Source organism: Homo sapiens, chromosome 2 (assembly GCF_000001405.40).
Source record: "Homo sapiens chromosome 2, GRCh38.p14 Primary Assembly".
Lineage (NCBI taxonomy): Eukaryota > Metazoa > Chordata > Mammalia > Primates > Hominidae > Homo > Homo sapiens.
In genome coordinates this window covers 225,661,754-225,675,685 of record NC_000002.12, presented here as the reverse complement: position 1 = coordinate 225,675,685, position 13,932 = coordinate 225,661,754, and the positions used below count along the sequence as shown (strand labels likewise).

General features: G+C 39.4%; 1 protein-coding gene across 3 annotated transcripts in view, besides 1 other annotated feature; it reads right to left on the bottom strand.

The window, feature by feature from the left end:
* Window positions 1–13,932, bottom strand: part of NYAP2 (neuronal tyrosine-phosphorylated phosphoinositide-3-kinase adaptor 2) — a 305,716-nt gene that overhangs the window by 27,969 nt on the left and 263,815 nt on the right. The gene's annotated exons all lie outside the window — the stretch shown is intronic.
* Window positions 6,934–6,983: a silencer, noted in NCBI's record as "silent region_12387". NCBI's record gives its function as "represses an Ori minimal core promoter by ATAC-STARR-seq in GM12878 lymphoblastoid cells {active_cell/tissue: GM12878}" and the evidence as "EXISTENCE:reporter gene assay evidence [ECO:0000049][PMID:35858748]".

The window sequence follows — 13,932 nt, the reverse complement described above, 5'->3', positions numbered from 1 at the left end:
CCAACTGAGCTAATAATCCCACTACTGGGTGTATACCCACAGGAAAACAATTCATTCTATCAGACACATGCACGATATGTTCATTGGAGCACTGTTCACAATAGCAAGGAAGTGGAATCAACCTAAGTGCCCATAAACAGTGGATTTGATTTTTTAAAAAATGTGGTACAAATACACCATGGAATACTAGGAAGCCATAAAAAAGAACAAAATTATGTCCTTTGCAGCAATATGGATGATGCTGGAGGCCATTATCCTAGGCAAGCTATTGCAATACTAGCAAGTCAAATATTGCATGTTCTCACTTATAAGTCGGAGCTAAACAGTGACTACACATGAATGTATAGATGGGAACAATAGACACTAGGGATCACTAGACGGGGAAGGGAGGGAGGTGGGGGTGTGAGCTGAAGAAATGCCCATTGGGTACTATGCTTACTGCCTTGGTGATGGGATCATTGGGACCTCAAGCCTCGGCATCGGCAATTTACCCATGTAACAAACCTGGACATGTATACTTTAAACTATAATAAAAGTTGAAATTTTTAAAAAGTTCGATGGAAATTCTTTTACCACTAATAAACAATAAATTGTGAAAAAATCACTAATATGACATATGTGGCTTGTAAAAAAATTTCTAGTTAAATAATTTGAGAAGGTAATAATGGATAATCACTCACTTTACTATAGATATTAAGAATTTCATCCTTTCTTTCCTGTTAACACATAAGACTGGGGGCTTGCCCTCACTTTGCTGACACACAGTCTACTCTAAAATCAGTATGTTACTGGAAATATAACATTCAAAATACACCCCCTTTTCAAATTCCCTGAATACTGATGACCTCATGCCTTTGGCAAAGATCGACAGATCTCCCAACACTCCTATTGTGACCAAATTTAACCTCCTGTTCCCTCAACATACTGCCTCCAGGAGAATCTACAAATAGATGAGGTTCAAGATATGTGATAAAACATATATTCCACTTTTGACAAATATCGAGGGGCTTCCTGGTCTCCAGGAAAGGAGAAAAATCAACAGACTAATGACATGTCGGGGGTCATGGTCATAGGATGGTGATTCTGGATTGAGGGCAGTTTTCCTGCACCCTCTGCTGATTCACTTTGCATGTGTCTAGCTTCTCCGCTAATCACTGTAGCACCTTAACACACTTCTGCCCCTCACATACTCACAAGTCAAAGTCCCAGCGGGCAAATATAAACACAAAGATTCCTTGTCAATTTTTCCAAACACACTAACCCTTCCTACAGCCACAGCAAAGCTTCTAGATAAAGGGATGTTAAACTCTTCTGAGGGGGACTAATAAACCCTCAGCTATTTTGAAATTAATTTCACTTGCAAACACCAGAAAACATAGCCCTTCTTTGTACAGCATGTCAGAACACATTTTTAACCCCCAACTCCAAATACCACAACCTAATATACAATCAAAGCCCCAACTCTCTACAAGTTACATTATCTTCAAGTCCCCAGTCTCCTCATCAAAGTCTTGTCAGAAGAAATGAAAGTTTTTACTTTTTTTGTTTCCTCTCTCTCTCTACCCCACAGCTCTCAGAGCAGAAAGCTACTTACTGAAACTCTTTTAGACTCAGCTCAGGCGATTTCAGACTCCAAGCTTTGTGGCTTCACCTGACTTCCTCAGCCCCGAATGGGGTCCTCTGCTCATCACAGGGGAAATTTGTGAGCTACAGTTCTGAAGTCCATCTGGGTCAGGAACAGACAGCCTGCTTTGTCATTGTACCCAAGATAAAAGGGAAACAGAGGACTGTTGGTAGTGAGTACACACAGGACTGTAGACGGCTTTGTTCTTTTCATACTCCCTGCCAGGGAAGAGTGGATAGGAGGTACTATTCCTGGAGTCACAGGCTGAATGTTCTTGTTTTACCACATATCATTTCTCAAAGAAGACTGAGCTTTCTGACTATCCTGCAGATCTAACAATTGCTCTTTAATGCCAGAATCCTAACCCCAAAAGGGTTATATGACTGCAGCATAAGACATTAATTTGATTCACAGTGGTCAAGGTAAGAACCATATCACCCATCACTGCCTAAAGAAAAATTTAAAAAGTGTAGTTTGTAATGAATGCACAGCAATAATCCAAAGATTGTGTGTATTTTTCTAAAGAAATTGTTACATAAGCTTACCTCGTTTTATTGTGCTTTGCTTTATTGTGCTTCATAGACATTGCATTTTTTTTTAAATAAATTGAAGATTTGAGGCAACCCTCTGTCAAGCAAGTCTGTTGTCACCGTTTTTCCAACACTATGTGATCACTTATTGTCTCTGTATCACATTTTCATAATTCTCACAGTATTTCAAACTTCTTCAGTATTATTATATGATATGGTTTGGCTCAAACCAGATCTCCAAACCAAATCTCATCTTGAATTTCCATGTGTTGTGGGAGGGACCTGGTGGGAGGTAATTGAAGCATGGGGGCAGGTCTTTCCCGTGCTGTTCTCATGATAGTAAGTAAGCCTCACCAGGTCCGATGGTTCCATAAGGGGGAGTTTCTCCACAAGAACTCTCTCTTTGCCTGCCACCATCCATATAAGACATAACTTGTTCCTCCTTGCCTTCCACCATGATTGTGAGGCCTCCTCAGCCATGCGGAACTGTAAGTCCATTAAACCTCTTTTTTTTTTTTCCCCAGTCTCAGGTATGTTTTTATTAACAGTGTGAGAACAGACTAAAACATTATATCTGTTTATGGTGATCTGTGATTGCCTTTGATGTCACTATTGTAATTGCTTGGGGGCACCACGAACCATGCCCATATAAGATGGCAAACTTAATCAATTAGTGCTTTACGTGTTCTCACTGCTCCACCAACCAAATATCCCCCATCTCTTCCTCTCCTCAGGCCTCCCTCTTCCCTGAGACATGACAATGTTGAAATTAGGCCAATTAATAACCCTACAGTGGCCTCTAAGTGCTCAAGTGAAAGGAAAAGCTGCACATTACTCGCTTTGAATCAAAAGGTAGATATGATTAAGCTTAGTGAAGAAGGCAAGTCAAAAGTCAATATAGGCCAAATGCCACGTTTCTTGTTGCCAATAGTTACCCAAGTTGTGAATGCAAAGGAAAAGTTCTTAAAGGAAATTACAAGTGTTACTGCACTTAATATTTGAATGATTAAAAAGTGAAACAGCCTTCTTGCTGATATGGAGAAAGTTTTAGTGGTGTGGGTAGAAGATTAAACCAGCCACACATTCTCTTAAGCCAAAAATTAATTCAGAGCAATGCTTTAGCTCTTCAGTTATACGAAGGCTGAAGTAGGTGACTGACCTATGGAAGAAAAGTTTGCAGCCAGCAGAAATTGGTTGATTAGGTTTAAAGAAAGTAGCCATTTTCATAACATAAAAGTGTAAGGTGAAGCAGTAAGTTATCCAGAACATCTAGCTAAAATAACTGATGAAGGTGGCTATACTAAAAAGACTTTTGATGTAGAAGAAACAGCCTTCTGTTGGAAGAAGATGCCATCTAGAGCTTTCCTAGCTAGAGAGAAGTCAATACCTGGTTTCAAAGGACACGTTGACTCTCTTGTTAGGAGTTAATGCAGCCAGTGACTTTAAGTTGAAGCCAATGCTCATTTACTATTTCAAAATATTAAGGCCCTCAAGAATTATGCTAAACCTACTCTGCCTGTGCTCTAGAAATGAAAAAAAAAAGTGTGGATGCCAGTACATCTGTTTACAGCATTATTTATTAAATATTTAAAGCCCATGTTGAGACCTACTGCACAGAAAAAAAAAGAATTCCTTTCAAAATATTACTGTTCATTGACAATGCACCTGGTCACTCAATAGCTCTCATGGAGATGTACAAGGAGATTAATGTTTTTATGCCTGCTAAGATAACATTCATTCTAAATCCATGAATCAAGGAGTAATTTTGACTTTGAAATCTTATTATTTAAGAAATCTATTTCATAAGGCTATAGCTGCCACAGATAGTGATTCATTTGATAAATTTGGTAAAAAAAAGTAACTTAAAAACTTCTGGAAAGGATTCACCACTCTAGATATCATTAAGAACACTTGTCATTCATGGGAAGAGTTTGAAATATCAACATGAACAGGAATTTGGAAGAAGTTGATCTCAACCTTTTGGATGACTTTGAGGCACTGAAGGCCTCAGTGGACTGCAGATGTGGTAAAGTGGAAATTATAACAAGAAAACTAGAATTAGAAAGGGAGCTTGAAGAAGTAACTGAATTGCAGCAATCTCATGATAAAACTTGAACACATGATGAGTTGCTCTTTAGGGATGAACAAAGAAAGTGGTTTCTTGAGATGAAATGCACCCCTGGTAAAGGTGCTATGAACATTGTGGAAATGACAAGAAAGGATTTAGAATATCACATAAGCTTAGTTGATAAAGCAGTGTCAGGGTTTGAGAGAAATGACTTTAATTCTACTGTGGGGAAAATGTTCTCAAACAGCATCATATGGTTTGGCATAGGTAAAGGAGGGAAAAAGAAAAAAAAACAGCATTGCATTCTACAGAGGAATCTTTTGTAAAAGGAAGAGTTAAATTGATGTGGCAAACTTTGCTGTTGTCCTATTTTAAGAAATTGCCACAGCCACCCCAACCTTCAGCAACCACTACCCTGATCAGTCAGCAGCCATCAACACTGAGGAAAGACCTTCTACTGGCAAAAACATAGGACTTGATGCAGGCTCAGATGATCGTTAGCATTTTTAGCAATGAAGTATTTTTTTAATTAAGGTATGTACATTGTTTAGACACAATGTTTACACTTAATAGACTGGATTATAATGTAAAAATAATTTTTCTATGTACTGGAAAACCAAAAAATTATTGAGACTTGCTTTATTGCAATATTCACTATATTGCCATGGTCTGGAATTGAACCCATGATACCTCCAAGGTATGCCTGTAAACAATCCAAAGAAATCTTAGCAATATTGATTTTAATACAGATCCCTGTCATTCCAAAACACATGATAAACAATGAATTACTGCTTGATGCTGCCAAAATGATTGCTGAAAGCCTATGTAGGAATTTTTTTTTTTTTTTTTTTTTTTTTTGGAAAATACTGAAGACGTTTTCCCAGGAAGGACATAAACTAATGCAATAGCACCCCTTTGTGGTGACATAAGGCTATAAAAATCATAACCAAGACCATTAATTTGTAAGGGTCTTTTTTAGAATTTCCTGCAGAATTACATTGAAATGGCCTAAAGACTCATTTAGTAATCCTTTCCTTTCTCTTAGGCAGAACCACACTACTATCATCTCACCAATATGGAAATTTACTGTGGTTTTAAAGGTCTCCAAAGGAAAGATTGCATGACCTCTCCCCGTACAACATTCCAGGGTTCTGCTTTCAGGTCTAATAAAAATAACTTGACACACGAGCATGCACCCATTTCCTCTAGTTAAACCTGCCTCTTTGGTTGAGATGAGAACCAGATGGCTGTTATCCTTTTTATTCCTTGGCATCTATGTACACCAACTGTGAAGGCCAAGGATACAGAACCATAGCAAGATTGTACAAAATGGATTTGGTCAGAGGAAGTAATCATGACCTATCTATAAAACCTTCCAAAGTAGGGCCTGCAAATACCACTTCTGTTTGGAGCAGAAAGTGTTTTAGTGGGCCAGAATGTGCAAAGCACATTTCTTCATTTGAAGAGCTCTTCATCTTCCCCTCATGTAAGGTGAATCGCTGCAACCTGGGTGTACTTCATAACAACCCGACTCTCCTTGGAGGAGGTGTGCTCACACTGCTTTCAAACAACTTGAGTCTTTGGAATGATCGTATCTATTTATTTAACCTTCTTGCCCTTTGCACATCATCTGACTGCTGGACAGAACGGAAATAAAAATTGTTATTTTTCTCTTTTTAAAGTCTAACACAATTACACATTTTCTACTACTGAACTGAATGCTACTTTGAATTTTCTCCATTTCAGCATTTTAAATATTAATAAAATTTTGATTTTTTTGTTATTCACTTTAGCAGTTCCCAGTGGTTTTCAAATTATAGAACAAACTGAGCTCTTCCCAGAACATTCTGGATATTTGTTTTCATAGGGTTGACATTACAATACTGTGTTTCTTTCTTCCTTTTTTTTCTCACTAAATGATTTTTTAAATTGTAATCAAGAAAAATAAGTTGTTGAAAATGTAAGCTGCCAGTTTTATCTCTAGTTAGGGTTTATTTTTGTAACACATAATCAGTTGAAATATATAGAGATTAGCTTTGCCCATTTTTGTCCATACGAATGAGCTTTTAAGGGATGAATTAAACAATGGTGTCTTATTTGTAGTAGGTAGAGACGTGATGTGCAGAAACCTACGTTAAGGCCTTTCATTTTAAAACAATACAGGGTAATAAAAGCCAAATTCACGTGCCATAATGACTTTTGATCTCTTTTGTAAAAAGAAAGAGATAGAGTCATGAAAAATAGTAATAATTAACATCTGCTCTGTATGTTCATGTACCACATGCTTTATGCCTCAGGTAGATAACATACATTGTAAAAGAACAGCCAACTTCATGTTCCTGCCTGAAACCTCACTGTAAATAAAATATGAGTCAGACATTCATTATGTAGTTTTTGGTATTCATACTTGTCCTTAATCATCCTCTATTACGTCTGTAGTTAATGCATATGCAATCAATTTTAAGCCATTAGCAGCAAAAAAAAAAAAAAAAAAAAAAAAAAAAAAAGCAGGGGACACCAATTAGGACACAATTTTTTTCTTTATTTATTCCTGTGTATGTAATTACCTTACATTAATAGTTTGACTTGTCAAGTAATTTCTAGCCCAAATGAATGGAGACATGTTAACTTTGGAGATCCTCTCCCTCCCTCTAGTGGTGATGAACTGCACAGGAAATCTTCAGTATGTGTTTGCTCTATAATACCCAGGAGAGTGCAGCTGACACACACACAGGAAAGGACAGTGCATTGAGAGTAAGAAGAGAGGGGTTCAAGGCCGAGATCTGCCATTACTCTGTGAACTTGAGATTTCACTTGGCCTTTTGTTTCTCAGTTTTCTCATCAGAGATGGGATAATGATTATGATTTGCAGGACTGTTGTGATGGTCACATGAGAAAACATTAGGTCAAATATATTTAGACATCGATAAAACATAATTAGATTTCTTCTTTTTCTAAGAGAAAATACAAGAAACATAATATACTCAATCCACTGATCTGATCCTCTAATGGAAAATCTGAGGCAGCCCCCATGGCCTCAGTCTCCTGGTACGCAGAGTATATAGAGTAGACAAATCTAGAGAGAGTCTTATTGATGTTGTGTTCAAACATCAGTCCCAGTGATGAAACCAACTGATGTCATCTGCTGTGTGACTCTTGGAGAAGGTCATCACATGTAGTTTTCTTGCTAAGCATGGTGAACTCAAATCTAATCACAAGAGAACAATCAGACAAAGGGACATTCTGGAAAAAAAGCAAAATCGTTCTGGACTCTGAAAATGTCACTTATCTTGAAAGACTAATGAGGTTGGGAAGTATTTGTGATTCAGGAGATTTGGAGAAACAAAGAAAGAAACTGAAAACTATATGTAATGTCGTATCCTTGATTGGATCCCAGACTGGGGAGGGGTATAATATTGGGGCCCTTGTAGAGATTTGAGGATTCCCTTTATATTAGATGATAGTAGGTAGTAGTGAATTATTATAAATTACCTGACTGCTTTTTTGAGTTTGATTGTTTAGAAGAATACACTCGGTCTTAGGATAGTCATGTTCAAATATTCAGAAATGAAGTGACATTATTTTAAAAAACTGTATGTGTTTAAAAGCACACACATTATACTAGTCTTCCAACCGTGCATCTGTAAAGCATCTCTATTAAGGTATCTCTATTAAGTAGTTTCAAAAGGAAAATATGAAACAAATGATTGCTCTTAGGTATTCTATCCATTGAAGATTCATTTGGGTTAAGAATGCCCTCTTTTGTAATGCTAATTGTTCAGGGAAGGGCTCTCTTCTACAATCCCCCTGTCATCTGAGGCTTAAGTGAGATGATCTCAGGGAATCAGAATTTAAATTAAAAGGAGACAGCTCCTTAGCAAATTTCTGTTGACTTGACTTTCTACGTGAATCAGCTTCCTCAAAATGGGAGTAATAATGATCATGCTTATGGTTCCTAATTCTCCCAGAGCATTACCACATGCTCTTCATCCCCTAATCATTTTTCTACAATTTTTCCCACCTCAACATTTGTTAATCCTATAATGCTAAACTGCTTGCATTTCTCTGACAAATTGTATGACTTCAGACTTCTCACTCCTTTGTAAACTGTCTTATGTCTGACTGTAAAGGCCTCCCACCCACTCTTATTAAATATATATGATATTTATATTTATATATTCACACACACGTATTTGGCTTCTTTATCAGGCTGAAATTTCTTTGAACACAGGAGTTTGTCATATCAACCATCTTCAAACTCAAGCATCTAGCAGAATATCTGGTGTTTAGCAGTACACAACAAGAATTTGTTGGCTGAATACAGGAAGGCAACTTATAAATTCTGAAGTCTGAGGACTAAGCTCTGATTTTTTTAGCTTGCACAAATTCCTATCTAACGGGTCTGGAGAGTCATGCCCTACAAACCATAAATTCTCATCAGAATGGTTTTATTTAACCCTATATACCGTGACTTACTTTCCAATCTGACCCTGGCATAACATTACATGACAAAGAAGAAAGTCAAAATATTTTACCCCAAAACATGTTTCTTTGCTGTATTTTGAAATGGTCCTGCAAAGCTGTCCTCTGTGTGTGTGTTGGGGGGGTGGGGGGGCATGGAGGGGGGGGAATATGTATCTGTAAAGAATCTCTATTAAGGTAGCTAGATCTTTTTCTTTCAGGCCCTCCCAATCCTGAAAAGATTAAGAATCTAGTACTTTTTAAAGGTCCAAATAAGAAACATTTGTCATCTATTGTCTCTAAGGGCAGCCACTTTAAGACTTCAAAAGAACCTTGGTCTCCACAATCTTTTATCTTAACCTGAATATTTCCTTTCTATTGATCTCAAGTGTTTAAACAAACTCAACCAATTATCAATCAAAAAATGTTGAAATTTACCTGTAGCCTGGAACCATCCCCCCAACCCCGCCCAAGCTTTGAGTTGTCTCGCGTTTCTGAACCAAACCAATATATTGTTTCAATGTATTTCATTGATGTCTCATGCCTCCCTAAAATGTATAAAAGCAAGCTTCACCCTGACCACGCTGGGGAAATATTCTCAGGACCCCTGAGGGCTGTGTCACAGGTCATGGTCACTCATATTTGGCTCAGAATAAATCTCTTCAAATATTTTACAGAGTTTGACTCTTTTTGTCAACAAGTACTAATGTTGATGACTGCAAAATGTCAATGACAGTGATATATGTCAGTTATTGGTGTTTGCTTGGTGGTGCAAGAGAAGGTAGGCTACATAGGTGACATGGGACATATGGGGTGAACAATTTGGCATTAAAGTAGGTGACTTTAGCGCATGGAGACTTTGGAGAGAGAAGAAAAAGGTAAATTGGCCGAAAGTTAATTTTACACACACCACCCTTTTGCCAAGACCCCAGATGATGGTCTTCAGAGCTGTGGCATCTAAGGTTGCCAGAGCAGCATTAGAAAGTGTGCACCTAACAGCATCCTCCAGGGTATCCTTTTTCCCCAGGTCTAGCCACTCCACCCAAAGCCCCTGGGAATAGCTGAGAGGGAGGGAGTGGGATAAGAAGGAAAGAAGGTCGTGATGTGCTCTACTCTAGGCCACCTCGTTTGCCTCACTTACCTCCTGTCTATCTGGGTGGTGGGCTTTTTTTTTTTTTTTTTTTTTTTTTTTTTTAGACGGAGGCTTGCTCTGTTGCCCAGGCTGGAGTGCAATGGCACAATCTCAGCTCACTGCAACCTCTGCCTCCCAGGTTCAAGCAATTCTCCTACCTCAGCCTCCTGAGTAGCTGTGATTACAGGCACGCACCACCACACCCGGCTAATTTTTGTATTTTTAGTAGAGACGGGGTTTCACCATGTTGGTCAGGCTGGTCTCCAACTCTTTTTTTTTTTGGTCTCAAAAAAAAAAGGAGCTAGGGAAAGGTGGTGTGCTGCCCTCTCCTGGCAGATTTAGCAAATCTTCACGCAGCTCATGAGACTGTTCACCAGTTGTGTTAAAACGCTCCATTTTTGTGACTCCTATTGAGAAGACCAGCAGGACAGGAAGGGGAGAGACCTTCTTTCGGTTCAATAAACTGTAGTAGTGAACAGCTGTTTGTCACTGGGGGTGTTCACACTTAAAAACATTTTTTTTTCTTTTGCCTTTGTATTTGAATTTAGCTGCAAGAGTATTTTTAAAGATTCTATGGGCATGTAACAAGTGCTAAATCACCCAAGGAGGAGGTCTCCATGTGTTTAGGGAACCTGCTCAGCAAAGCCAGGGCAGAACTATAGAAAAAAAAAGAGCAAAGTTCAGCTTCAATAAACTTATGCAAAATTTTGTAAAGAGAAAATCTAAATAAAGTTAAGTAAAATGTATGGAGAAATTATGTAAGGTTTGTGCTATTTGCAAAGGTAAAATTCTATATTATTTGTGGAGAGAAGGCTTCATAATCCCTTCTGTTCTCAGAGACTATAAATGTCTTAATTTACTCCAATCATAGTTCATGTTCTGCCTTAAATATATACTTGTATCACTCGAGTATGGAATGTCTTTCTAGAATTGTTTCCATGATAGTTTCTCCTAATATTCATAAACCTTTGGGGGTTTTTGTTTGTTTGTTTGTTTTTGAGATGGACTCTCGCTCTGTCGCCCAGGCTGGAGTGCAGTGCCGTGATAGCTCACTGCAAGCTCTGCCTCCCAGGTTCACGCCATTCTCCTGCCTCAGCCTCCCAAGTAGCTGGAACTACAGGCGCCCGCCACCACGCCCGGCTAATTTTTTTTGTATTTTTAGTAGAGACGGGGTTTCACCATGTTCGCCAGGATGATCCTGGTCTCGATCTCCTGACCTCGTGATCCAACCACCTCTGCCTCCCAAAGTGCTGGGATTACAGGCATAAGCCACCGTGCCCGGCCGCATTTCAGTTCTATTCTCTAATTTTTCTCTCTCATCCTCAGTAAGTAGGTAAAACTTGTAAGTAACTAGCTGAGGTGGGCCTATGTGATGACTGTGTGCAGAGCCACAGTCAACAGTCCCAATGTGTCTGCAAGTTATTATAACAGTGATACAATGACATACTAATCCGTTTCCACTGTTAGCAATTATTTATTCATTCAATATGTATTGAGACAGCAAGAGATTTCCAGGATAAAAATAGACATTCCCAGCCCTCAAGAAGCCTCCATTCTAATGCAAACAATTATAAGCTGAATTTTTGGAATCCATACATGCTCCTTGGAAAAATGCAAAAAGCATTCCATGGTTGGATATATTTGAGAAACATAAGCAATATTATATCCCTCGCTTTGCAATTTCCGGTGCACATCAGCAAATTTGAAACTCAGATAGTAGCAAAATTTACTTAACTTGACTTTCCCCACACTGCTTTACTGTGTAATAGAGTTCCTCTCTGATGCAAAAATAAGGCCTTTCATGGTTATGACAGTAAGTACAGGGAAGAGACAGAGAAGGGAGAGCTGCTTGGGAAAGATAAAAAAGCCTTGTGGATGGGAGAGCACACTTGATCCCAGACTTGACAAATAAGCAATAGTTTGCCAGGAGTCAAGGACTAGGGAGGGTGTTCCAAGAAGAAGGAAGAGTCAGGCAACTCTTGGAGGCATGCCAGGAATATTTAAAAGTGATACAGGGCCGGGCGCAGTGGTTCACATCTGTAATCCCAGCACTTTGGGAGGCTGAGGCAGGCAGATCACAAGGTCAAGAGATCAAGACCATCCTGGCCAACATGGTGAAACCCCGTCTCTACTAAAAATACAAAAATTAGCCAGGCGTGGTGGTGTGCACCTGTAATCCCAGCTACTTGGGAGGCTAAGGCAGGAGAATCGCTTGAACCTGGGAGGCGGAGGTTGCAGTGAGCTGAGATCATGACATTGCACTCCAGCCTGGGTGACACAGTGAGACTCTGTCTCAGAAAAAAGAAAAAAAAAGTGAGAAAGAACTGTGGTGGGTGTGTGGATGAACCTGAGGTGTAGCAGGTGAATGGAGGCAGGTAATGGATAAGGAAGCTGAACAGGAAAACCAGGGCCAGGTCACACAGGGCCTTGAAATCCAAGCAAAGTTGTTTGTGATTCATGCTGTGGGCAGTGGGCACCTTTAAGTATTTTGCATGGAGGAACTCAACTACAATCACTCTTTTGCTGCTGTGAAGAATGGATCTGGGAACAGAGGGTGAGTTTAGAGGCTGGAGCTGGGAAAATGGGTGAGAGATGCTAAACCTGTGATCAAACTGCAGAGTCATCTTGCGAGACTTGTTTGGATTCAAGAGAAAAAAAGCACAAATCATAAAGATGCTGGAGTGGCCCCAGTCCCCTTCTGTACTGGTTTCCTGGGCCCATCTTGCTTCTCCCTAGTGCTCCATGCATGCTTACAGTAAAAACAGTGCTTTGTACTTTTTTGCTCAAAGAAAATGTTAAAAATAGCCCATGTTTTAAATAAACGAATGACTGAAAATGAACACATTTAACACTTCTGGTCTAAAGTGTGCTTTTGTATTCATTATTTATTTTATATGGAGGTAGAAATCAAAATACTTGGAAATTCCGCGAGGCCTGGAGACTGCGATCGTCGGATATGAGTGTTTGCTTTCTCCAAGGGTAGGTCCCTTGTTTCATTATTTAGGTTTATATCAGACAAGTGACAGTACAGATTGTGTTCCTTCCTAGATCGTTCCTTGAATGATAAGCAACTTCAGCTCTATTGGTTTCTCCCGAAAAACCTCTACCCCTTTCATATGCAAAGTTGATTGGGTTGGGTAGGATTACTCCTGACACCTTTTGGTCCTTCAAATAACTTTCTCATTTTCTGGGAAAGAAGTCATTAAATGCAGCATTCCAAATGCCATCCCTGTCAAAATAGCTGACAACTAGGGATTATTAACTAGCTCTAATGCAGCATTTACTTTAGAAAACAAATGCTTTGACATGACAGTACAGTTGGGGTTCCCCCCTCCCACTTTAAAGTGTCTGTTCGTAGGATTCTGTGGAAGTCCAGAAGCCAGATACATTTTGGTGAATACGTCTTGGTCTTTTGTGTTGTTGGTTAAATCTACAACAGTACTCTGGAAGCTGATATCTATGTGTGCATGTGTGGGCGAGGATATGTTTTCTTTTCAGAATGTGGAAAGGGTTCGATGTGCTCAAGTGTTAATATCCACAGACACTTGTGCACATGCACAGCTGCAGGGCTGATGTCCCATGGCACTAGTCCATGGTCCACAAAAATGTAATAACCGATGAATGGAACTTAGCTTTCTTCCAGAAGTTACTTTCCCAACCTCATGTCAACTTTGGAGATTTTGCTCTTGGTTGGCACTCTGCTTATTTGAAGTCCTAGTTGAATTTGTCCTCTGCTATGACATTTTAGTCTCAAAAAGTCAAAAGGCAAGACCTGGGAAATTGAAGAGTGATTAAATAAATGGATGAAAGTGAAGGAAAATAAGTTTTAGAATGGGAGCAAATTCAGGGGCAGGTGCAGTGGCTCACGCCTGTAATTCCAGCACTTTGGGAGGCCGAGGTGGGCAGATCACTTGAGGTCAGGAGTTCGAGACCAGCCTGGCCAACATGGTGAAACCCTGTGTGTATTAAAAATACAAAAATTAGCCAGGTGTGGTGGTGCATGTCTGTAATCCCAACTACTTGGGAGGCTGAGGCAGGAGAATCACGTGAACCCAAAAGGTGGAAGTTGCAGTGAGCAGAGATCATGCCACTGCACTCCGGCCTGGGTGACAGAGCT